General features: G+C 40.2%; 1 protein-coding gene and 1 long non-coding RNA gene across 7 annotated transcripts in view; one reads left to right on the forward strand and one right to left on the reverse strand.

Moving 5' to 3' along the window:
* SLC5A4-AS1 (SLC5A4 antisense RNA 1) overlaps window positions 1–27,049 on the forward strand; it is a 68,501-nt gene that overhangs the window by 12,247 nt on the left and 29,205 nt on the right. The gene's annotated exons all lie outside the window — the stretch shown is intronic.
* The window catches only part of SLC5A4 (solute carrier family 5 member 4), a 136,600-nt gene continuing 110,653 nt past the window's right edge, over window positions 1,103–27,049 (reverse strand). For all 6 annotated transcript variants that reach the window (XM_017028920.2, XM_006724308.4, XM_011530342.3 and 3 more), the window contains 10 exons: window positions 21,624–21,729; window positions 19,883–19,963; window positions 17,512–17,732; window positions 15,538–15,673; window positions 13,607–13,714; window positions 11,833–11,983; window positions 8,294–8,462; window positions 6,906–7,121; window positions 3,559–3,661; window positions 1,103–1,364 (listed from right to left, as the gene is read on the reverse strand). In XM_017028920.2, coding sequence (XP_016884409.1) covers window positions 1,153–1,364; window positions 3,559–3,661; window positions 6,906–7,121; window positions 8,294–8,462; window positions 11,833–11,983; window positions 13,607–13,714; window positions 15,538–15,673; window positions 17,512–17,732; window positions 19,883–19,963; window positions 21,624–21,729 — 1,503 coding nt within the window. In that variant the 3' untranslated portion in view covers window positions 1,103–1,152. The remainder of the gene's footprint in view (window positions 1,365–3,558; window positions 3,662–6,905; window positions 7,122–8,293; window positions 8,463–11,832; window positions 11,984–13,606; window positions 13,715–15,537; window positions 15,674–17,511; window positions 17,733–19,882; window positions 19,964–21,623; window positions 21,730–27,049) is intronic.

Consider the following 27,049-nt stretch of genomic DNA (forward strand, 5'->3'; position numbering starts at 1 on the left):
CCTATAGCATTTGTCTTTCTGTGTCTGGCTTATTTCACTTAGCATAATGTTCTGCAGGTTCATCCACATTGTTGCAAGTGGCAGGATTTCCTTCATTTTTAGTTCTGAATCGTATTCCATTATGTATATATACAACATTCTCATCATTCATCCATCACAGCACACTTAAATTGTTTCTGTATCTTAGCTCTTGTGAACAGTGCTGCAATGAAAAGTTGAACTCATAGAAGCAGAGAGTAGATGATGGTTGCCTGGGGCGAAGGGGTAGGTAACTGGGGAGGTATTAGTCAGAGTACAAACATTCATAAGATGAATATATTCTGAGGGTGCAAAGGATAGCATGGTGACTGTAGCTAATGATACTGTATTGTGTGCTTGCAATTTACTAAGAGTCTATCAGTTGTTCTCACCACACACACAGAAAAGGTAAACATGTGAGGTGACAGATGTGTTAGTTAACTTGATTGTGGTTACTGTTTCAGAATGTATACATATATCAAATCATCACGTTGTACATCCTAAATATAAACCATTTTCATTTGTTTACTATACCTCAATAAAGCTGGAAAAATAGAATTTAGACCTGTGTGTCTTGTTTGCACACGTAGAGGTCACTTCACAGTTTTATAAATTATCAACTCTTAGTGACACAAAGGAGCAACAAAAGCAAAATATCAAGTCTGTAGTCATCTCATTAGATAAAATTACCAACTGCTCATTTTTTTTTTTTTTTTTTGCCACACAACATACTATAACATGAAAATGGCCGGGCACAGTGGCTCACGCTTGTAATCCCAGCACTTTGGGAGGCCGAGGCAGGTGGATCACGAGGTCAGGAGATCGAGACAATCCTGCCTAACACAGTGAAACCTCGTCTCTATTAAAAATACAAAAAATTAGCCGGGCGTGGTGGCGGGCGCCTGTAGTCCCAGCTACTCGGGAGGCTGAGGCAGGAGAATGGCGTGAACCCGGGAGGCGGAGCTTGCAGTGAGCCGAGATAGCGCCACGGCACTCCAGCCTGGGAGAAAGAGCAAGACTCCCTCTCAAAAAAAAAAAAAAAAAAAAAAAAAAAAAAAAAAAATTAAAATCACTAAAATTATCCTTTGGTTCATTATTAAGAATTATTCATTATTCTAATGGCTCAGATAGAGTTCAGGCATAGTAGCCGTGAATAAAGACCACCACAGCCAGGAGGAGGATGGCGTTGATGTTCACTATTGTCCTCCACGAGGGCCTCTCAGACGTGTCTGTGAGCTTCTTGCTCAAGGCTTCCTCCTCCTCCTTGGTTAGCTTGGGTCCCTTCTGCAAACCGCAGAACAAGTCATAAGCTTTCTTGAGGCATCCACGTGATTTCTCAGGATAATCTGGAACAAAGATAAGCAAATGATTGCAGAAGATCTAGATCACAAAGGAACTAGAAATCCTTGTCAGTGTAGTACCTATGACTGTAAAAAATGATTACAATCAGCTGGGAGTGTTAAGAGGAATCCCTGAGAAAATGTAGATAAATTTAATCATATAAAAACAGGCGACTTTTGCATGGCACGAAGTTCAATAAACAAAGTAAAAACAAATGACAAAATGGGGGAAACGTTCGCATATTCTATTACAAAGGGTTTAATATCTTTAATATATAATGGGTTTCTAAAAATAGGTAAGAAAAGGCTATCAACAGCCCCATGTCAGCATATTAGAGAGATGAATAAACAGTTGAAAGAAAAAAGACACATGGTTCTCAAGCTCACTCAAAAAAGAGAAATGTAAACTAAACCTATACCACTTTCTCATCTATTAGTGGGAAAAATACAGAAGTTTCACAACATACTGTGTTAGTGAGTTTGCGTGGAAACAGGCACTCTTCTATATTGTTGCTAGGGAAGCAAGTCCCCTATGGAGGGGAATTAGTAGCGTATTGCAAAATCATATAGGCATGAACCCTTTGACCCAACAACGGAACTCCACAAAATCTATCCCCAGCTTACACTGGCAAAAATACAGAAAGACTCATGTATATGGCTATCTGTTGCAGCACTGGAAAATTTAATACTTCTAAACTCAAATGTTTATAAAAATCACAATTAACGTAAGATTATATTTAAAAAGAAATGATAATGAAAATTATACAAATTAAAAGCTGTGAGATTTAAAACAGTATTACTTTGAGGGAAATGTATATGGTCTTATTTATGTAGAAAAGAGAAAGAAAAATCAAAAGAAAAGTAAAATTTCCAGATTTACCGGAAATGAATGAGTTAATATCCAACTTAGCAAAAAAAAAAAAAAAAAAAAAAGAATAAACCTAAATAATGTAAATGGAAGAGAATACAAATAAAAACAGAAAGGATGAAATAGAAAAGAAGGAAAATAATAGAAATGACAAAGCCAGAAGTTAGTTCTTTGAGAAAAGCAAACTAGACAAATCTTTAGTAAGATTAAGAAAAACGATAAATCACAAAATATACTAGAGATTGAAAGGATAACACAACTATAGAGGCAGCATAGATGGATAAGTAGACACTATGAATAACTTTATGCCAATATATTTAAAATGTGCACTAAATGGGCACAATCCTAGAAATGTATAATTTTCCAAAAACAATTAATGAAAAAATGGAAACTCTAAATAGTTCTATAGCCATTATATAAATTTGATCAGTAATTAAGATGTGCAACACACACACACACACACACACACACACAGCCCTTATGGTATTATTGGCAAAATACCAAAATTCAATGGCAACATTATTTCAATCTTATTGAAATATTTTCATAAAATGGAAAAATGGGCTAATTTCTGATTCATGCTATGATAACTCTATGATCTGAATACCAAAACCAAAGACTTAGTACAAAACCAGAAAATGATAGGCCAGTCATACTCAGGAATGCTGATATAAAAAATCAAAAGGAACAGAAAGCACTGACTCTTCACTTTGAAGAAACCAAACCAAAACAGACAATTATTGTCCAGTTTAAGACAACATATTGTGAAGTGCTAAACCTTATCTGAGGTTTAAAAAACATTAGGTAAACAAAGAGCCAGGGGGATGACTGATGGAGAAATTTTCATGAAGGAAGTGAGATTAGAACTTAGTTTTAAAGAATAAGCATTTTTTTTCCCCTTGGACAGGAGGTAGAAATATTCTAGGGAGCTTGGCGCATGTGGAAAAGTGAGAAAACCTGTCTGCCTGGAATAGAGGGTATGTTAGAGAAAATACTGAGAAGTAAAGTTGGAGAGAAGGTGGGGCTAGATGCTTATTTGCAGACAATCAAGATTGAACACTTACTATGTAACTAGGAACAGGCGAGTCTGTAACTGTCATCTCAGTAACTATGGATGGATGATGGGTGGACAAACCAACCAATGGACAGGCAGATGAATAGATGGATTTAATATGTTGTCTTGGTTTTTGGAAAGGTAAAAATTTAAAGTTTCAGTTTGTCATAAATCTAACAGCCTTTTCGGAAGCTGGATTTAATGACATTAAAAGAAAACCATAAACAAGCCTGTGCACAGAGTTCCTACATGAAAACCAAATGTAAACCAAATATTACCTTCTTCAACACCATCATCTGTTTCTTCCTGACTTTTCTCTTCTGCATCTATATCGATTCGCTCCTCTGTACTGTTCCGAAGAACCCAGCACAGGCGGTACAGCTGAACAGGGACCATACAAAAGTGCATTAGTAATAGGCAAATGTTTGCAATAGTATAATAGAATGGTACCTTTGTTTATCGTCTGGTGTTTTTAAAAAATCAAACCATACAGGAGAATATAGATCACAAAGAAAAGGCCTCCTACCACACTCACTCATCAAAACACACTAATCATTTTAAATTTTTTTCTGTTTTTAATTCTTTCTGGTTGCTATTTAGAACTTCAAATGATATACTTAAAAATACCTACTTCTGGATTTGTAATTTCAGCAAAGTTGAAGATTTAGCTAACCTACACTATACCCCAGCTTCACTCATTGTCCTTAACATCCAACAGTTATTAGCCACATCATGATTTCCTTCAGTTTATCTAGTGGTTGCTTTTATAACTTTCAAACTATCTTCTTAAATTCTATTTCTGGATCCATCACATTTGGCTGGTATCTATGTACTATTGAATTCCAGTTGCAATTAGTACCCTTACACACTCCTTTTCCTAAACCATCTCCAAACTTCTGTCAGCTATACCATTATTTTAAACTATTATGCTTTATATAATTATTATTTTCTGTAAATATATTAAGATTTCCATGGTTAGTCTGTATGTTGATTTAAGCATTTGAAAATAAATAGAATTGATGCTGTATGTACTGATTGGACACAAGTAAATATCAGCCCTGGGTCATTCTAAGGAAATTGCTCCAAGTATCAATGTTTTTTTTTTGTTTGTTTGTTTTGTTTTCAATAAGAAGGAGTTTCCATCTTGTTGCCCAGCTGGAGTGCAATGGTGCGATCTTGGCTCACTGCAACCTCCGCCTCCTGGGCTCAAGCAATTCTCCTGCCTCAGCCTCACGAGTAGCTGGGGTTACTAAAGGTGACTGCCACCATGCCCGGCTAATCTTTGTATTTTGAGTAGAGACAGGGTTTCACTATGTTTTTGGCCAGGCTGGTTTTAAACTCCTGACCTCAGATGATCCACCCACCTTGGCCTCCCAAAGTGCTGGGATGACAGGCGTGAGCCACTGCGCCCAGCCTATCAATGGTTTTTAAACCTTTATAATCTATCATATTCTAAGTTATACCTCATTTTAATTTGGCTCATGACTTTCTTGTACAAATTTACTAGAATTTGTAATTGGTTTTATTTGTTCTTGATGTAACATATGCCTTTACCTTCTCACTAAGATTCCTAATCATGTCTTCATAAGCTCTTATTCACAGGATTTCTTGTATTAGATCCACTTTCTTTGTTAAAAACTCTCTTCTTGGGAGTCCTTCAATTTCTGTTTAATTACACATAGAGTAATTTCTAGTTTTGCTGAAAGACTATCATCCTGGGACATCTCATTTCTGCACTGGTAGGCTAGATTCACAACAGTTTTCATGACTTTCTCTGAAATAACCATGATATTTATCAGTCTATTTTGAAAGTTAAACCTTGCAGCATATTAATGAGACATTAACATAAATCAGAAAAATGGTCTCACTGGTCCTTCAGACAATATTTTTTTCCTAAAAATTAGTAATAAAATTGGTTACTTCTACTGGCAAATAAGAATTTAACATATATATATTTAAAAACTATGATATGTTTTCTAGTGTTCTTTCATCTAACTCAATATTCAGCGTAAATATTTAGTTAGGAATTTCAGTGACATGTCCTTCGTAAAACATTTTGAGCTGTGCTGTATTTCAGGTTTCCCATCCACACATAATCTACTGGCCACTTCTCAGGAAAATATATAAAGAAGCATTGCTTCAAAAATTGTGAGTGATAAATTCAAAATACATAAAAGCTACACATGTTTAGTCATAAATTCAAACAATTCAAACAGTATTAGTATATAAGCAGTATTTATATTTTAAAAATAATTAGTTAATATTTGCTGGGCCCCTAGAGTGTCTCCCCACTCCCTGAGATGCCTCTTGTTGAAAATCTTAGGTGGATATGCTCTAAGATTTTTTTTTGTATGCTTAGACAAACATCTATATGCCTACATGTGTTTTATTTCAGAAAGCGCTATTATACATTATTATATTATTCTGCACATATTTTTCCACTTAACCATATTATGAACATTTTTTTCCAAAGTGAATAATAGAGCTCCCTCATGTTTCTAAACAGCTGCATAATGTTCAGTGCCCTGTGTTTGTGTGCTCATTCCTTTCATGATGAAATCTGGATTTTCTCCCAGCTATTTCCTATTTGAAAACTTTTGCAGAGAAAATCCTTATACACATATTTTTCCTACTTGAACAAGTATTTATACACAGTAAGCTCCTAAAACTGGGATTGTTGTTTCATAAGTATTCATAAGTATTTATCCATAAATACTACCCAATTGCTTTACTATAAATTACAAAATCTACGCACTCTCCAACAGTTTTGGACTGTGGGAATTTTCCCACAACACTAATATCAACCACTAACATTAAATATTATTCATATTAAACATTTTTGCCAAATTGAAAGGCAAAAATGCATCTCATTATTCTATTCTTTCTTTTCCTGCCCCCTGGTACCATGTACTTTCCCCCCATCTCTGTGCCAGTCAGTGTTCATGCTGTATATGAAATCCTATTGACCCAAACAGGCACAGCCCAGATGACAGCTCTGCTGTGAAGTCTTTCCCAGTGTCTTTGGAAACACCAATTATTCTCTTCCTGGTGTCCTATGACAATGCTGTAGATTGACTTCCCAACTACTCTGTGAAGTTTACAAAATATAATGTCCATTTTCTAATCCCTTACTTTTTAATTCACTGGTGCTTTGCACATACTAGGTGCAAATTGTTCTTTATTTCAGTGACTGAATGATAATCTCTTAGGGTTCTTCTAGCTCTAGAGGTACAATGAATACATTTCCTGGAACTCATACATGCATACAATAAAAGGCAAGGAACTCTTTTTTTTTTTGAGACAGTGTCTCGCTCTGTCACCCAGGTTGGAGTGCAGTGGCCCGATCTTGGCTCACTGCAAGCTCCGCCTCCCAGGTTCACGCCATTCTCCTGCCTCAGCCTCCCGAGCAGCTGGGATTACAGGTGCCCACCACCACACCCAGCTAATTTTTTGTATTTTTAGTAGAGACAAGGTTTCACCGTGTTAACCAGGATGGTCTCCATCTCCTGACCTCGTGATCCGCCCGCCTTGGCCTCCCAAAGTGCTGGGATTACAGGCGTGAGCCACTGCGCCCGGCCAAGAACTCTTATTTAAAATTAGCATGTATTCATTACTCATCACTCACATGTACATCAGGAATGGGTTTTGTTAAGAGGGAAATTCCCAGGGTGACCAGCATGGACCCAAAAAAGAGAACGATGGAAAAGTACAGATAGTGCACTCCACAGATAATCTTGGGACAGTTACTGGGAGCCAAGCAACTCCCTGTTCCATAAGCAAACTCTGTTATCATACGAATGAGGCCCATTGCAAGTCCAACCATTAGACCCCAGAATGCTCCCTGCAAAAGAAGCAAGAAGAAAATCAGAATGTTTAGAAAATATGAGAAGCTTATTCAAGTAAGTCATCATTATAATCCTGCCTGCTTTCTCAGTTAAGGACCAACAAATGGCTAACCTTGGGCACAAGGTTACCGACATAGAGAAAATTGCAAATACATGTGCTTCTTAGTTGGATGCTGCTTTCCATGATCCTGAACTGTACATACCACTGCACCATCGTTGATTCTCCAATACCAGGACACTACTGTCTACACTGACCCAAGCTGAAGTTTTCCTTGACTTTTGTTTCATAGTTAGATCAAAACACTTGTGATTTATTTGATAAAATAAGCAGAAGTATCAATTATGTTACACAATTTCCAGAGCTGATATTAGGTAGTTTTGAGAGTTCTATGAAGCTCTTGATAATTTATTTCTGTGAGGAGTTGATGGGGGTGGAAACATGTGTCTGTTCCTCTGCTCAAGATGTTATGTTTTAGAAAAACTGTATTGCATGGAGATTAATGGTATGAGCTTTGGATGGAAGAAGATCTAAGCCTGAATACCAAGATCCCACTTACTAATATTAAGTAACATGTGGAAAGCACATAGATACTAACCCCTCTGCACCTGTTCCTCATCTGAAAATCATAATAGTAAGGCTAGTACTAAGGAATGATTGAAAGATTAAGGGTACATGATCCACAATAATCAATTAATTACATATATCACAATAGTAATGAACACAATTTGAATTCTTAGCAGTGTGGTAGGTTTTCTTCTAAGAATTTCACATATTTTATCTCACTTAATACTCACCACAATCCCATAGAATAGGTGCTATCATTATCTTCATTTTACAGAGACTCAAGCAATTTGCTTAGGATCACAATACGATTAGGTGGTATAGCCATGATTGGGCCCTGGCAGTCTGCCTCCCAAACATGTTCCTCAACTCTGCACCATGTATGTACGTAATATTTTGTAAGAAACATATAAAGACTGTACTATGAATGTGCGCTATATTTTTATACTTTAGCAAGGATCAGGAATTGTGGCTGACCTCAACTAAAATTAAGATGGGCCATGATTTGCATAAATAGGGGAGAAAGAATGTATTTTGATACCCCAGTGAAATAAACGATTTTTTTCTCACTCCAGCAGGGAAACTTTTTTTCCAGTTTTCACTCACCTGTTCATTGACTCTTTTACAGAAGATGGCAAGCACAAAGACAGCTGCAATTGGAGGCCCAAGGTAGCTAGAAATTGATTCTGTGTAATGGATTAGTTGTCCATTTTGAGAAACTTGTACCAGTGGGACCCACACAATGCTCACAACAGTTAATAGAAGAACAAATATCCTGAGAAGAAAACAACATAATTTAAACATTAAACAAAAGCACTATAGTTACTTCCATTGTGCTTTAGTTCTAGCGTTCATTCTTGTTGTCACTCATTGATTTTCCAAACAAAATCAAGCTCCTTGATCATACATAAACCCATGCTGTGCTTAATGGTGATCTTTTAGTAAAGTGCCAATAAAGCAATTGCTTGTCTATAATTAATCATAATAGCTTCATCTATGAGATTAAATATCTATTCATAAAAATAGTTAAAATATCAGTGATTAATAACTCCAATACACTACATGTAGTATATCAATTGGAAATAAATACCACACTACTTCTATTAACCAGCAATTATTTGTATGATAAAGAAAGCAGACTTCCATTTTTTGTTCTTTTGCTAGCTTGCAGGGAACAAAGTTGGTTTGCATAGGTTAGAATGGAAACAGCCTCTATCTCAGAATGCTGGGTAAATCAGCAAGAAATGCTAACTTGTGCATTTTACTACTTGAGTACTTCAGCAGGTAAAAAGCGTGTTAAAGGCTCCTGTTGTCCAGGGAGCATGACTTCTTAACCTTTCTAAACTGCAGCATTGTCTGTGCTTGTTCTGTGAGTAAATGAACCGACGCAATTTACTGCAGTGTGCGTAAAAGGCCATTCATCTCTCTCTGCTCACATGAAACAGAGAAGCAGTTGTGGGGTGGAGGAAGGAACAAGCATTTGGGCAGGAGACTGAAGCACAAATGTCTCATTTAAATGTTACAAAATCACTGCATCCTTGCAACAACTAAATGTGATAAACTATGGGAAGTCTTAGCATAATGCCTAAACCACAGTAAGGATTCAATAAATTACACTTACTGTTGGTATTTTTTTTTAATTACCATTGGAAGACAAATCATGTGCTTTCCCAACTCATTCAGTTCCAGTTTCCTATCACATGTAGAATAAAATCCCGTCTTGTTATGACTTCAATGGCCCTGGATGACCTCGCCTCCAGGCACCTTTCTGACCTTGCTCTTCACTCTCCCACTGGCTTCTCATGGATGAACCTCACTCCTGCTTGTTCTCAAACATATCACATATGTGACTGTGGGAGGAAAGCAACCCTCGTTTTTCCTTCCCCCAGAGCACCATGGGGCTCACTCCCACACTTCCTGCATTGCAGGCTCTGCTCAGATGCCACCTCCTCAGAGAGGACTCCCTGAGCACCTGGATGAGGTTACTTCCATCCTTTCTTCCTGCTTTGTCTTTCTAGCACCTCTGGTCACCTGAGGTAGCATACCTTTATTAATTGTCTATCTTCCTGACAAAGGCATATATTCCACAAGGCAAGAATTTTAAAAACGTACATGTTTTTTTCCTATTTGTGTTTTGTGAGATAGTAGACATTTGATAACAGAGAGAGGGGAAAAGAAAAAGTTATTACTTTATCATTGAGACTTAAGGAGGATGTGTGTCCAAGATCATATACCTATCAGTGGGACGACTGCATCTTGGGTCTCCTGAACACCAACCAGTACCTTCTCTACTAAAGGTACACTCCTGCCCTACTGTACTCCCTCTCCTACAGCATTTGTCCAGAGTCAAGCTCTGGGCCAAGTGAGGCCTTTGGGTTTTGCCCCAAGTGTTTTAATTTACTAAAGCTATTGTTACTGTCACCAACAAAGTACAGTCTTTTAAATAGTTGGTCAGTTTCTCTTGATACCAATTTCTTTGAAAAGAGTAGACAAATTCTGATATCTTACTACAGTGGAACATCACAGAGAAAGAAATTACACTACAGCTACACATAGCAACACGGTTGAATGTTGCAAACATAACATGAGCAAAAGAAGCCATATTTCGGCAGGTGGGGATGGCTCACACCTGTAATCCCAAGACTTTGGGAGGCTGAGGTGGGCGGATCACGAGGTCAAGAGATCAAGACCATCTGGCCAACATGGTGAAACCCCGTCTCTACTAAAAATACAAAAATTAGCTGGGCATGGTCGTGCACGCCTCTAGTCCCAGCTACTCGGGAGGCTGAGGCAGGAGAATCGCTTGAACTCGGGAGGCTGAGGCAGGAGAATCGCTTGAACTCGGGAGGCAGAGGTTGCAGTGAGCCAAGATCGAGCCACTGCACTCCAGCCTGGGCGACAGCAAGACTCTGTCTTGAAAAAAAAATTGTATTTCAAGGGATACAAATTCAATTATTCTACTTATGATAGCCTGAAGTTGGAAAAGACTAAGCTATAGCATCACAAGTCACAGTGGTTAGCTTTGGAACGAGGTGGCCCAAGACGAACGAACTTCTGGGTGCTGGTAATTTCCATGTCTTGACTTGATCGATGGTTACATGGGTCCTCACTTGGTGACACATCTCTGAGCTGTGCATCCATGTTTTAACTGTTTTCTTTATGTGTGCTGTACTTTGATTTTTAAAACATTTTACAAAATGCTATGACAGGCCAGGCCGGCGGTGGCTCACACCTGTAGTCCCAGCACTTTGGGAGGCCGAGGAGAATGGATCACCCAAGGTCAGGAGTTTGAGACCAGCCCGGCCAACGATGTGAATCCCTATCTCTACTAAAAATACAAAAAATTATCTGGGCATGGTGGCGGGCACCTGTAATCCCAGTTACTCAGGAGGCTGAGGCAGGAGAATCGCTTGAACCCGGGAGGCGGCGGTTCCAGTGAACTGGGAGCATGCCATTGCACTCCAGCCTGGGCAAAAAGAGTGAAACTCTGTCTCAAAAAAAAAAAATGCTATGACAATATAGGGTCTTCTCGAAAATTGTGAAGGTGAAAAAGGACATTCTGGTATCGATTTTTTTCCTCTTGTTTCCCTCCATCTCACTTCCACTATCTTCAAGGCCCCCAGGCTGCTCAGGGTCCCCTGGGTTGACTTAACTCTCCAAGCATCCTCTTGGAATTAGTCCCTTCCCTGCTCCTTTGTAACACAGCCCAATCATTAATGAATATGACTGATAAACTCCTCTGTGTTCATGTGTGGAAGACTTAATCCATTACCTCCATGTGATATACATGGAAACTGCTAGAGACAATGCATTCACCTATCAGAGTAGGTGGAAATTTTACACCCTATTAAAATACTGGTGGAGTTTTATGAAGATGTGGATAGGGGGGTGATGTGAGGAGGGGAAGAAATAAGAGCCATTCAGAAGCATTTGAAAGACTGAAAAAGTGATTATTTCATTTAAAGGTATGGTTCAAATTTTTGTATCTGGAAAGTGATCACTTGAATTTGATGTACTCCAATGTCTCTTCCCTCTACCCAGATGCTATGATTACTTTCACCAAAGCCAAAGACAAGGGAACTCTAGTTCACTTCTACGTCTGTACTTCTCCAGAGGATTCTAGGTGGGAACCAGGGTTCACTCACCGTCCAGCTATCAGGAGCTCTTTCTCCGACGCTTGCTTCCGCATCTTGGTGTAGAGGTCAATGGTGAAGAGGGTGCTGGCGCTGTTGAAGATGGAGGTCAGGGAGCTCATGAGAGAGGCCAGCATGACCGAAAGCATCAGGCCTCGCAGTCCTGGAGCCGGGAAAGGGTACAAGCACTGGTTAGTGGCTGGACACTGCCTTGCTAAACCAGAGAGGGTTGAAAGGTTAAAAGTATCATCTGGAACATAGGTTAACTGATGTCCTTATCAATACACATCAGCATGTGGAGTTTCCTGCATATTTTCCTGGTCACCTGAGAATAATCCAGTATAAATAAGTCAGGCACAGAAAGACAAAACATCACATGTTCTCACTTACTTGTGCCATCTAAAAATCAAAAACAATTGAACTCATGGCTATAGAGAGCAGAAGGATGGTTACCAGAGGCTGGGAAGAGTAATGGGGGACTAGGGGTGGCAGCGGGGATGGTTAATGGGTACAAAAAAGAGAAAGAATGAATAAGACCTACTGTTTGATAGCACAGCAGGGTAACCATAATCAGTAATAACTTAATTGTACATTTTAAAATGACTTAAAGAGTGTAATTGAATTGTTTGTAACTCAAAAAATAAATGCTTGAGGGGACAGATTAAAGCAAAAAGAATTTTAGTCCTAAACATGAACTTAGAGATCATCTACTGGAACCTAGTTTTAGAAGAGAGGAAACAACATCACACCATCTTTCTTTGGGTAGGGACTGTTGGCTTCCTGAAGACTTAAGAGAACTGGAGAGGAAGAAGTCCAGTAGGCGGTTCTGCTAAATAAGTCTTTGGAGGGGCAAAGCCAAGAGTTTTGAGCCATGATGGGAACTTCATCCTCCAGTTCCCTCTGCCCATTAGTAACGGCCCTAAGCCTCCTAGGACAGAGTGTGTGTGGATGGGAAGCATGTGGTGTCATGGTTGTGGGCCATGACATGGTTGTGGGCCAAAAGTTGAAAGATCATAAGGAAGGAAAGAGGGTCCCTTCCTCCCTCCTGTGTGTCAGGGTGGAGGAAGGTGGAAGAAATGTAGCCAACCCTTGATGGAGTAGGAGATCACCTGGTCAAGTCCTGAGCTCTGTACCCTACTCCATTTCTGTTCACCACAGCAATGATCACCTTCTGGCATCCTAATAATTTATGTATTTCCTATGTGGTTTATTTTCTATCTCATACTACTAGATTTTGAGTTCCAAGAGGTAGGGGACTTTATGCCTATTTCACTGATGTTTTGTTAGCACCAAAGCAGTGCCTGGCACTTAGTAGGCACTCAATAAATAGTTGCAGATTAAATAGATTGAGATCTATTATTTGGTTATCACTAGCCCCAAAAATGCCCCCCAAAAAGCATAATAAATAGTTTATTCTATTTGGTTTATTTGGTTATCACTAGCCCCCAAAAAGCAGAAAAAATAGTTTACCTCTAGGTCTTGTGTTTACAAGTTTATGACTATGCAACTCTTTTATTGACAAATGGATCATTTAATTTGTTCTTGGCTGCCTCAGAAAACAGTCTTGAATCTGAAGGAGTAAGAATTCTTCTAACAGTAATTGTACCTGGTTCATCTCTGAAATTTTCAGGCCTAGCACAGAGCTGGTAACCTGTAGAAGGTGCTCAAGAAATGTCTGATGAGTTGGATTGAATTAATGGAAGGTGCAAGAATTGCACCATAACCCTTCCTCGAGGCCCGTCTTAGACAGGCCTCTGGGGCTGTCCCAGCAGGGACATTTTCCTACCTTGGGGCATCAGTTCCAGCACCATCGTGGGGTATGCGTAGTTGGTGCAGCCAACATCAACGCCACAGTGTTTCACGCATTCAGAAGGTACCACACATGCTACCATATCTGGGGAAGAATTCAGAAGTGAGTCCAATGAGGCCCAAATAGGCAAAACCAACAACCATTAAACAAAGAGAAAAGTTGAAAGATCATAAGGAAGGAAAGACATTTGCCTGGAAACTGGAGATTCAATTTTGAACTCCATATCATAGATCTGGCCCCTCTATGCCCAAAACACAACCCCAAGTATCTTATCCCCATAGCCCCTTGCACTGACCCATGGGATAGGGGCTCCCTTGGGACGTGGCCTAGCAAGGGCATTTGAGCAAAGAGAGGGAGTGGACCCCATCCTCTGGGAAAACAGCAAAAGAAGAAATTCTTCCAGGAACACAGAGCTCCGGAGACTGACAACAGCAACAGGAAGTTAGGTCCTGTGTGCAGTCACATTTAGCCTAGTATCTTTCACCTGCATCTAAGAAGAGGTGTCGCTTGTGATGGTCAGTTGGGTGACTGTCCCATGTGTGATGATGCCTCACCTCTGTGGCAGCTGCACAATACCTTGTTGGTTTTTTGTTTTTGCTTAAACAACATTATGACAACAGACAGGGAGAATTGATAAAGAATCACGCAGAAAAATAACACTTCAGCACATTAGCTTCTTTTCATTCCTTCCTAATCCTTTTCTATAGAGAAATGTCTTTTTTGTAAAACTATGATAGTTGTTGAGACATTATGTTGCAAGTTTCTTTTTACATTTAATATCATAACCTCAGTATTTTCCCAAGTTTTGAGATAGTCTTCAGTCTCCTGTTTTCATTTTTCCATAAAGGAGGTGCACAATAATTTCTTTGGCCATTCCCCACTAGTTAGATACCTACACTTTTTTTTTTTAAGAGACGGGGTCTCTGTCACCCAAGCTGTAGTGCAATGGTGCAATCATAGTTCACTGTAGCCTTGAACTCCTGGGTTCAAGCAGTCCTCCCACCTCAGCCTCCCAAGCAGCTGGGACTACAGAACACATCACCATGCCTAGCTACTTTATCTTATTGTTTTAGAGATGGGATCTTGCTGTATTGCTCAGGCTGGTCTCAAAGTCCTGGGCCTCAAGCGATTCTCCTGCCTCAGCCTCCCAAGTGGGTGAGGTTACAGGCGTGAGCATTCTTTACCCTTATAAACATTACAAAGCTGCAGTAAGAAGTGATGTTGGTCCCTTGATGTTCACTTAACAAGATTTCAGTGAAATCAACTGATGCCCAGTTGAGAAAACATGAAGTGGATTCAGTGTTGTCTGAGGGATTACCCCAATAAAAATGAGTCCTCAATTAGCCAAGAAAGATTTGGTTATATTTCCTTCACTTTTCGTAATAAAGAAAGGAAGTTGAATTTTTTTAAGGAAGATTTTTAACACTAGCAGTTACTCTTAGCTGACTCAGAAATTTACATATCCTCAAACAACCTGATTCCAAAGCACTGAAAATTGATTCAGTTCTCCAGTTTTCTCAGAGGGACCAAGACCTTCTCAGTCAGAGATGTCACCAAACTCAGACAGTACGGCTCACTCAACTCAAATTAACCCAATTCTACCTCATCCTGCAGTGTCCTTTTGCCATATTCTCTGGACTTCCTTAAATCTAAGCAACTCATGAAGACGGAACTCACAGACTCAAATGTCTACGAGATAGGCAGATGGTATGAAGAGGATAAAGGAACAGAGCGTCCAATATGCCAAATTTTCCTGCCTTTGACCACTGTGCAGGCTGCTCCCTCCACCTGGAAGTCTGCTTTTACTTCCTTCCAGAATGGATTTTCTCAAGGTTTTATGACATTTTAAAAACACTTATCAGAATACAAGCATAAAAAAAGAGAGAACATACGGATTCAGGGCTTACCTGTGTACAGGATGCGGCTGATCATCCCCGGCATCACCATGAGGAACATGGGCAGCAGCTTCAGGTAAGCACACATAATGCAAGCGGCCTTCACGTGAGACATGTCCTTGCCACACAGGCAGCGCTGCACAATGACCTGCCGGGAGAACGTGACACACTCATGAAACAAGCCAGGGGATGATTTCAAAGGCAGTCAGCGTCCCTTTCCAGAGTTTAATGTTGCAATAAGAAATAATGTGGACCAGTATACCAAAGAGCTATCTGCACTCCTGTGTTCATTGCAGCACTATTCACAATAGCCAACATGTGGAATCAGCCTGAGTGTCCATCAGCGGATGAATGGATAAAGAAAATATGCATAATACACAATGCAAAACCATTCAGCCATACACAACAACGAAGCCCTGTCATTTGCAGCAACATGGATGGAACCGGAGGTCATTAAGTTAAGTGAAATAAGCCAGGCACAGAAAGACAAATGTCACACATTCTCACTCATTCTCACTTCCTGAGGCCTAGCTTAGGAAGATACTGAAGGCTTTGATTTGCCCTGAAGGACGGAATAAACTAAGAAAGAAGACAATAGGCAATACTGGAAAAAGGAGAAATAACCGGAGTAGGGCAAAAATGAATTCCCAAAGATGATAGCGAAGGGGTCATTGGATAAGGTTGGGCACCAGAGGGAGTGCTGCCAGACTGTGAGAGGGCAAAGACTCCAGGAGAATCTTTCATTCAATGAGTAATAATTAGCAAGAAAATTCAAAATGAAAAATTAAAAATTGGCCAGGTGCGGTGGCTCACACCTGTAATTGCAGCACTTTGGGAGGCCAAGACAGAAGGATTGCTGGAGTCCAGGAGTTTGAGACCAGCTTAGGCAACATAGTGAGACCCTGTCTCTATTTAAAAAATAATGTTTTTAAAAAAGGAAGAAAACAAGAATTAAAATTATTAATTCCAGGAACCAAAAAAAAAAAAAGCTGAGGAAAAGTCAGGCAGTATACATCACATGGTTCAGCTGTGAATTACATTCAGGTAGTCACAAAAATGGTGGCACTGAATGCTGATCTCTCCAAAATTGTGATTGACAGCTATTGGGAGGATGGGGGAACAGGTGTGCTTGCATGGGGCTGAGAAGGGAAAGTTGAAAGACAGCTAAACTCTCATCCTTCATCATAGGGAAGCCAACAATAAAATCCTAAAACCAAGAGAGAGCAACACAAGCATTTATCTGAATCACTTGGGGATCAAGTTAATGAGCAGATTCCAATTCAAAGGGTCTAGATAGGGTTATAGGGTCTGAGAGCATTTATTCCTAGTGAGCTCCAAGGTGATGTCCATGTTGATGGCTCACAGACTGCACACTGAGCACAAGGATTTAGGGAACAGAAATAAATGCCAAAACACTTACTTAAAAGAGCTGAAAGCATTTGCCTCTGAAGGACAAGAAATAGGGTGGAAAGCAGGGCACCATGCAGCTATTTTTAAATAGCAAGGTTTGTAGAAGTGTTTGACTCTTTAAGCTGGGTGCGGTGGCTCACCCCTGTAATCTCAGCACTTTGAGAGGCCGAGGCGGGCAGATCACCTAAGGTCAGGTGTTCGAGACCAGCCTGGCCAACATGGTGAAACCCCGTCTCTACTGAAAATACAAAAATTAGCTGGGCGTGGTGGTGCACATCTGTAATCCCAGCTACATGGGAGGCTGAGGCAGGAGAATCACCTGAACCCGGGAGGTGGAGGTTGCAGTGAGCTGAGATCATGCCACTGCACTCCAGCCTGGGTGACAGAGTGAGCAAGACTCCATCTCAAAAAAACACAAAAAACAAAAACAGAGAAGGGTTTGACTCTTTAAACGATGTGTGTGCAAAATGGAAACTAAATGTTTTTCTATGAGACAAGAAAGAACAAGCACATGCACACATACAGACACACAGACAGACAGACAGACAGACAGACACACATATACATATACTTCACCTGATTTGTGCACCAGTACCACAAAGCTGTAATGGGCATTCCAAATATAATTCCTGGCCATGGAATGTCCCCAGTCACAGCATCTCGGAAGATGTGGAAGGAGTCCGCCCGAGGTGTGTAGCAACTGGCACTGATTGTCAAGTTGTCCCCCTCGACTACGGATGGGGTGGCATTCACGTACTTCTCGGTAAAGCTCTCATAACCTCCAACTTCGTTAAATGCTAAAAAGGCATCAGAGTAAAATGAGATGTCTTACTGAAATCTAAGACATCCAATGTTTATGATGACTACTTTTTGGTGGAGGTAAACAAGCACCTCCCATCAGCCCAGTCCAATCCTCAGTGACCCTCTCCCAGGTCCATGTCTTTCTGGTACCTCCGCTGGCATTGGCCATGCTACCAGATTTACTTTCACGAAGTACACAAAGCAAATAACTGACTTGTCTTCCTATATTGCTCTTTGAAATTTTAAGTTAGTGTTTCTTTTAAGGTAAAAATGAAGCTGTTATCCAACAGGCTGACACTGATGTCTCACAACCATTTAGAGCATAAGCAAACTGGAAGGTGAGCTAACAAAGTGAGCCTCATGAAATTATCCATCAGAAAGCCCCAGCTCCTCTGAAAAAGATCAGGAGGCAAAGGCCTCTCTTCTTGACCCAGAGCTTGGCTCTTTTGATCTTACTTGCAATCTGGTTTTCTGGTGCAACACTATATTTTGCCTGTTACAATAAAAAATTGGAAAGATAAGAAGCAGAAATTGGGAGTGGCAGGTTAGACGTGACAAGAGAAAATACTGAGACTCAGCCTGTTCGGGTCTGGAAAGGCTAGTCAGGTGCAGAAGAGAATTGTGATTGCCCTTAGAAAGCTGAGTCCAGGCATCTGGGGTCCCTTAGTATAGCTTTAAATGATGAAAAATTCATCAGGGTATTATACAATTGTAGGGCTGAGTTAACATTAATTTACTTCATTATTTAGCTGAAGGACTACTATGCGCCAAACACTGCTAGGATCATGTGCAAAATAAATGTGCAAGGCAGGAACTTAGCCGAGTGGAGGATACAGACAATACAAGGAAGTTGCTTTGATTAGATAAATATGGTTTGCAACAAAAATACATAGGAGACCCTAAGAGATGAGAGTCCCCCTCTTCATCCTAAAGATGGCAGAATTGAGGCTTAGAGACCCTAATGCCAGAGAGTGCATCACTGAGGCCAGAAACCAAGGCACCATGAACAAGAACAGCACAGAAGTTCTGGATAACTGAATAGAAAGTACACAAAGAATTGGTGCTAACAATAGCACTGTGCAATAGAAACATTCTGCAATGATAGAAATGTTCCGTATCCATGCCGTCCAGTATGGCTAGTTTTCCTATGCAAAGATAAATACCATAATAAGAGAAAACAAATATTGGCAAGCAGTAAATCAGATCAATATTGCTTGACGGCAATGAACTGAATGATACTAATAAGTGAGCATTATTAAGAAAACTCCAACCTATATTTGTGTATTATCACAATGTATTGTTAATAGATTTCCATCCAAAATAGTCATAATGAGGTTATGGATGTTTTGGATGAAAATCCACTACAATACATTGTTAGAATACACAAACACAGGTTGTGTATTCTATGTGTATGATTCAGTTGAACTGACTAATATTCAGTTCTCAAATTTTTTCCTACTATTTAATCCTTCATTTCATAAAAATTCTATGTAAATGAAAGGTTTCTAGACAATACTTCTGTAAAATTATCAGCCCAATGCTACTGATTTTGTCTGTCCTTAACACAAAGAAATCAAGGTTAAATGAGATAACTTATCTAAGCAGTAATTTTTTTTTTTTTTTTTGAGATGGAGTCTCGCTCTGTTGCCCAGGCTGGAGTGCAGTGGCGCCATCTCGGCTCGCTGCAACCTCCGATTTCCGGGTTCACACCATTCTCCTGCCTCAGCCTCTTGAGTAGCTGGGACTACAAGCGCGCGCCACCACGCCGGGCTTATTTTTTATATTTTTAGTAGAGACGGGGTTTCACCACGTTAGCCAGGATGGCCTCGATCTCCTGACCTCGTGATCCACCCGCCTCGGCCTCCCAAAGTGCTGGGATTACAAGCGTGAGCCACCGCGCCCGGCCTCTAAGCAGTAATTTTTAAAAGAAAGTGATGTTCTCTTCCCCACCATCCATTTCCTCATGCTGAGCTAATAAAGCAAGAAAGAAGTCAGGCAGATATTTCAGTGATGGGGATTATGTAAATGACTGGAAAGTGTGACCAGATGGAACTGGAAGGCATCCCAATAAAGAGCAGACAGACCGAACAGAAACAAGTCCCGTGATTTCCAGGCCCTGGGCACTGCACGCAGGGTCATCACTTACCAAACCCCATGAGAATAAAAGAGCCAATCAGCATGATGATGGTCTGGAGGGTGTCTGTGTAAATCACCGAGGCCAAGCCCCCTAGTGAGAGAAAGAAAAGAACCAGGGCATTTTATCCATGTGTCCTCATGTATTTACCTTCACCACTGGGTTCTCCTCCACCCACAACCCTGGAAATGACCCAGTAGAAGACATCAAAAGCTCCTGGGTGAGCCACAAGCTTGTCCTGGCATCATGATCTCCTCAGCACTGGTTTTCCTACTTCCCTTGCCTTGCCCTGATTCAAAGTTTCTGTGAATTACAGTGAAGTTTCATCTTTGTGTGAGTTTTTGAATATTAAATAGGGGAAAAGGCAGCACTTTAATACCATGAAAGTTTCTCTTAACAATCCCTCAATTTACGCCCATTCAGCACAGTGCACCTGCTCTAAAATATCTAGTGAAACCACTTTTGCTCTAGTGCTGGAACGTATTATTGTTTCATTAATTCAGTACCAGATATAGTTACTGTGTTTTGTGTTTTGCTGTAGTGTTGAACAACAACAACAACAAAAATCCAAACCCAACTTCTTTTTCAGTTCTAGACTAACTAGGCTCTCAGTCTAGTTAGTCACCAGCACCTGCAACAAGATATTCCCTTTATGAGAGTGTCATGAGAAAATAAGATGAATCCTGAACACAGAAGACTCATGCCCTTATTGCTCCCTTATTCTGAAACACATGCTCTGTGAAAGTTGTCTGTACCAAAATAGAGACACTTATGCCAAACCCTAACAAAATGGGGCTGGGAGACCATGCAGGTAGAGCCCTCATACACCTATGCCGGTAACAGGAACTGTTGGAAGACATTATCATGAAGACTGTCTCCTAGCAACAGCCAGTACCACCAATGAACAAACACCAGCACCTGCAACAAGCAGGTGAAGCAATCATCTTTGTTTCAAAACAGCTTACATGGACTCTCCCTCTCTGTCTTTAAAAGCCTCTCCTTGCCCCAACCCCCTTGGAAGTCCTGTGGTCTGCCATAGCACATGTATCCTGGTTTGCAATCCCTCACTATTCCCGAAGAAACTCCTCATTTTGGAGAGTTGGTCTCTCTGTCGCTTATTTTAGGTTGACAGCTCAAATGCACGAAAATGGCCCCAAAACTGTTTTGACTGTTCTAGCTGGTATTTTTCCTTACGTCTTCCAACTCAGCTGGTATACTTTAATTTTTATGTTAGTATGCATGAGAAGCATATCAACATACCTGGTTCATGAGAGCCTGCTTGGACTATTGTCACAGATCGTCTCCCGCCAGCAACCCACTGCTCCAGTTCTCCTCTCCCAACTGCACCATTCATGGCCATGGCCATGCCCTGGCATCCTGTGTTCATTTGAACCTTGCCTTTCATTTGCTAGTCTCCTATCTGAGCTGCTACTTCCTCCCAACCGTCTGTGTGGATGATATGCTGAATTCGAAGTGCCAATCTGGTTACCAAACATATAGCTGAACCAAATGACCTGTTTCCTACCCCATCCCCCACATAATTCCCTTCCATCAAGATGTTCACATCTAATATGGAGGATTCTGTGTTGTATGGTCTAGTTGTGTTTCTGGTGCTGTGCTTGACTCTCATAGTGGAAATGAAATGGTGCCTTTACCTCGGCAGTGACAAGGTTAACACTGAGAATGCTAATTGCAGGTTGGGGTGGGATCAGCAAAAGATAGCCTGAGTGAGCAAAATATGCAACATACTTACCAGTGGTGGTGTAAACAGCAGTCATAGCCAAGAGGATGAAGATTGCCAGGTAAAGGTCCAATCCCAAGGCCAGCTTGATGAATATGGCTCCAGCAAATATGTCTGCCTAAAAAGGGAACAGTCAGGATGAGAAAGAAACATGCATTTGAGGCCACTGGCTTCTCTGCCCCAATGTCCACTCTACTCAACCCTTCTTTTTCTGATAGACTCCTACTTACCCTTCAAGAATCCACTGAGATGGCCCCAGAGTAATACCTTCCATAAAGCCTCAAAAAACGATTTTTACTCTCTTCACTCTCTTCTGTAGTCGCATAGAAGTTAGTTCATTGCTCAGTTGAGGTGCTTATTAAATGAAGTGACATGTCCTGAGAACTTTTTCTGTATCATGAGGCTTAGACAGGCTGAGTAATTGCTTATAGGAAGCCCCTTGACTGTGATGGAGTATTTAGAAATATATCTTCTCCTTGAGCCCAGGAGTTTGAGGCTGCAGTGAGCAGTAATTGAGTCACTGCACTCCAGCCTGGGAGTGCATATTATATATATATATATATATATATATATATATATATATATATATATATATATTTATATATATATTTATATATATATAAATTATATAAAATATATGTATAATATATAAAATATATATAATATATATATTATATTGTGTGTTTTATGTACTATAAAATTTATTAAGGGCAAAACCACAATTACTTTTGCACCAACCTAATATATTGGATAGAAAGTATGTACCAAACGGCCGGGTGCGGTGGCTCACACCTGGAATCCCAGCACTTTGGGAGGCCGAGGCAGGTGGATCACGAGGTCAGGAGATTGAGACCATCCTGGCTAACACAGTGAAACCCCGTCTCTACTACAAATACAAAAAATTAGCCAGGCATGGTGGCAGCCGTGTGTAGTCCCAGCTACTCGGGAGGCTGAGGCAGGAGAATGGTGTGAACCTGGGAGGCGGAGCTTGCAGTGAGCAGAGATGGCGCCACTGCATTCCAGCTGGGTGACAGAGCGAGACTCCATCTCAAAAAAAAAAAAAAAAAAAAAGAAAGTATGTACCAAAATAGAATGCAACCAAAGAGCATTGTTTCATTTATATTCCAAATAGATATGTGCTACAGTGATGGAAAATTGGTTTGAATTGGGGGGTTAGTTATGATTATTTTTGAAATTGAGGGGAAAATGTAGAATTAATTTAGATTATGCAGACTGTGCTGTAAAAGCATGATGTTGGCTGGAATTCAATTAATTACATGTGTCTCTGACCCTCCTAGGGCCCTTAGGTCTAACCATAAAAAAAGGAGACTATGATCAACTTAAAAATCTCTCTAAGGCAAACATATTTCAGTGGGAAGTACATTTTCTTATCTACACTGTTTGGCTCAGCATAATTAACATGAATAATTCAGGACAATTTCCTGCTAGTTATTATATATGTGTGTATATATATATATGTGTGTGTGTGTATACATATATAAAACTAATAATGTATATGTTCTTAGAATTAGTATTCTTGTTTGCCAATGAGGATTTTTATAATTATCTGTTTGTTTTAATTTTCCTAAAATTATTAACAGAACTGAGTCCGTTTTAAGAGACAAATTGCGTAACATTTTTTTCTCTGTTCTGGAAAAACTTAAGCTGCCAACAGATCATCTCTTACTTGAAACCTTGAAAGAATTCACCCCTACCCTTCTCCATGTCCCCAAACTACCTGTCAGGTAGGTTATTATTATCATCATTTTGCATCTGAGAAAACTGAGGCTTAGGGAATTTGTCCTAGATCACCCAGATAGAAAGTGGTAAGCTCAGGATTTAAACCTGTGTGGTGTGACTCAGAAGCTTCCATGGTTAAACACTTTGTTATACTGCTATCATGGAATTTTACTTAGTGAAATATGTGGGGAACACTTAGAGAAGTATAGATAAATTATTCTAGGAAGATGGTGAATATGGCAGCATAGTTTGTGAACTTCCATGAATCTCTACATTAGACAGAGCAAGTTTATGGCAAAACCAACAAAATTAGATGACAGGGTATTTCCGTGAGGCCCAAAAGGCAAGACGGCAGGTGCAACCTGCCACAAGACCTGCATGGCAGCAAGATCTGGGAGGAGGCAGAGAGAAACAGCAGCTTATCTGAAGAAACTTAGAGTTAGACATCTCCACATAGCCACCAGGTGACACTGAGCAGCACAGTGGGACAATTTCAGAACTACAGCAGAGCATAAAATAAGTTTTGCTTTAATAACCAGTGGGCAACTGTAAGGGCTCCTTGGTAAATTCCAAAAGGGTTCAGAGTAGTCTGGGTCAAACAAGCTCTCAAAACTAACAGCCAAAGCTGCCTTTCAGAACAGGGACCTACACCGAGGAGAAGCTTCTAGAAGTGGCAACAAAGTTTGGCAAAATGAGGAACACCATGTTTGATGATACACTAGTCTTATGGTGGGGATGGAAGAGAACTGCAAATAAGTTCTGAATTCATAGTTTGTTTTTTTTGTAGCAGTATGGGCGAGGCAATTCGGAAATAATTTTCTTTTTAAAAATATTTACTTATTTTTGTTTCAGCCGGGCACAGTGGCTCATGCCTGTAATCCCAGCACTTTGGGAGGCCAAAGCGGGTGGATCACTTGAGGTCATTTGTCAATTTATGCTTTTGTTATCTGTGGTTTTGAGGTCTTATCTAAAAAAACCTTTGCCCAGACCAATGTCCTGAAGCATTTCTGAAACCATTTTTGATGCATTATAGGATTGAGCAAACAAATTTTACATATATATATGTGTGTGTGTGTGTGTGTGTGTGTGTGTATATATATCTGTATGTGTGTGTGTATATATATATCTGTGTGTGTGTGTGTGTGTGTGTATATATATGTGTGTATATATATATGTATGTATGTTGATGACTTGGAGGGCCAGGATTCTCAGTTGTGGAAGAGGGAACATATAAATATAGAATTGCAGAAGGCAATAAAATACTCTATAGAGCTGGACTGGAATTGGAGATATTAGTGTGAACTCATGATTTCTAAACTGTATATGTACGTGTATAGCTGCCTAGAAAGTATATGTATGTGTGTGTGTGAATATATCTATTTATGTGTGGGCATTTACATGTGTGTATGTATGCATTTATTTCCTAATGATGTCAGCTAAAATAGTCAAGAAAAAAAGTCCACCCAATAAGCACACTTAGCACGCAGATTTTTGTTTCTAATACCCCTCCCCACTAAAGGAGCCAGGGCTCTCCCAGAAAAATAGGTGACTCCAGGACTGGAGCAGGGCTGGTACAAGATGAGTCTGAAACATTTTGTTAGGCCAGAATTTAAGAAATTGCCCAACAAAATGATGGGATCATGCCCCATCCTTTACACAGAATCCAGTTTGAGGAACTCTCACTGGCCAAATGTGGTGTAAGTATCAAAATAACTGGCTGGGCGTGGTGGCTCATGCCTGTAATCCCAGCACTTTGGGAGGCCAAGGCGGGCAGATCACGAGATCAGGAGTTCGAGACCAGCCTGACAAGCATGGCGAAACCCTATCTCTACTAAAAATACAAAAAATTAGCCAGGTATGGTGGCGCGTGCCTGTAGTCCCAGCTACTTAGGAGGCTGAGGCAGGAGAATTGCTTGAACCTGGCAGGCAGAGGTTGCAGTGAACTGAGGTCACACCACTGCACTCCAGCCTGGGCGACAGAGTGAGACTCCGTCTCAAAAAAAAAAGTATCAAAATAACTGCATATAATAATATTGGTAAACCAATGATAAATAGGAATGTATCAGTCCATATCAGTAATAGATAAATAGAGAAGGGAAGACTCCTGCCCTCAGTAGCCTGCTGAATGCTGTCTGGGAACTGTGGAAGGAGTGCTAGGAGTTTTGGAAAATTATTATTTGGCAACCATCATAGTAAAGATTGGATCTGATAAGAACCATTTATGAATGCTAAATCTAGTGGAAAAATTTGAAGAGGAACTGGATATTTCAGTGGTTTAAAGGATCTGTCACAGACTGCTTATTGGTTACAGGGGAAAATAAAACAGTAATTCTATAGTGGAGAAACTGGGCAATACTTTGACCAGGTGATTAAAATTAACATCACCATTGAGGAACAGACGGGCATTGAATGCTTCTAGATAGGATACTTTTAGTAGGATACATCACTTATGCAGTATTCCAGCCAAGAAGAATGCATAACGTGAATCCAACCATGAAGAAATATCAGGCAAATCCAAAAGAAAAATTGTCATATTAAGAAGGGTGGAGTAGGGACTCTATCCTTCAAATTGTCAGTATCATCAAAGACAGAAAAAGGGTATGGAAATGTTCCAGATGAAAGGAGGCTAAAGACACTTGGCAAGTGAATGTAGTACCTGACCCTAGACCGCATCCTGTACTGGAGAAGAAAAGATGATTAAAAAAGGTATTACTGGGTCAATTTACAAAGTTGGAATTTAAATGGTAGATTAGTGTATCCATGTTATGTTTACTTGAGTTGATAATTCCAATTGGTTTTGCAAGAAATTATCCCTGCTCCTAGGAATAACAATATACAGGGAAGGCTCAGTTTAAAAAACCATCATTTTACACTGCCACAGTAAAGACTGGATCAGGTAAAAATCACTGGATCAGGTAGAATCATCAATGAGTGTTAAATCTGGGGGAAATTTTACATTGAAATTATTGGGGTTAAAGGGCAATGACATATGTAACAATTTCAAATAGTTAAAAACATATGAGAGACACTTTGGGAGGCCAAGCAGGGTGGATCATTTGAGGTCAGGAGTTTGAGCCCAGCCTAGCCAACATGGTGAAACCCCATCTCTACTAAAAATAGAAAAAAATTAGCCGAGCGTGTTGGTGCATGCCTGTAATCCTGGCTACTGGGGAGGCTGAGGCAGGAGAATCACTTGAACCTGGGAGGCAGAGGTTGCAGTGAGCTGAGATTGTGCCACTGCACTCCAGCCTGGAAGATAGAGTGAGACTCTGTCTCTGTTTCTGTGTTGAAGTTGGGGCTAGAAACAGGTGTAGCAGGAGACGGTTGTATTTTTCTCTAAGATTTGAAATAAAATCTGACATTTTATCATCCCATGCGATACTGATGTTGGCCAAAAACCTGTTCTTGATTTTCTGAGCCTAGATCCCAACTCGGTTGTACAAATGCAAAGTACTTTCTGTAACTCTATTGCACATTGGGGTTTCCCAGGAATACCAACTAATATTGAGGGAAGATTTCACTTTTAAAAAAATGTTCAGCATTTCAGAAAAAGAGTGTTACCTGTGGAGGTGCCACGTGTGATATCTGCCTCTGCCTGCATTTATAGCTGTCTTCACTCATACTGCTTTATCCTCATCCACAGAGGGGCGAGTATTACACCACAGCATTTTGACTTCATGTGTAGTTCTACTTAATCA

This window comes from Homo sapiens, chromosome 22 (assembly GCF_000001405.40).
Source record: "Homo sapiens chromosome 22, GRCh38.p14 Primary Assembly".
Taxonomy (NCBI): Eukaryota; Metazoa; Chordata; class Mammalia; order Primates; family Hominidae; genus Homo; species Homo sapiens.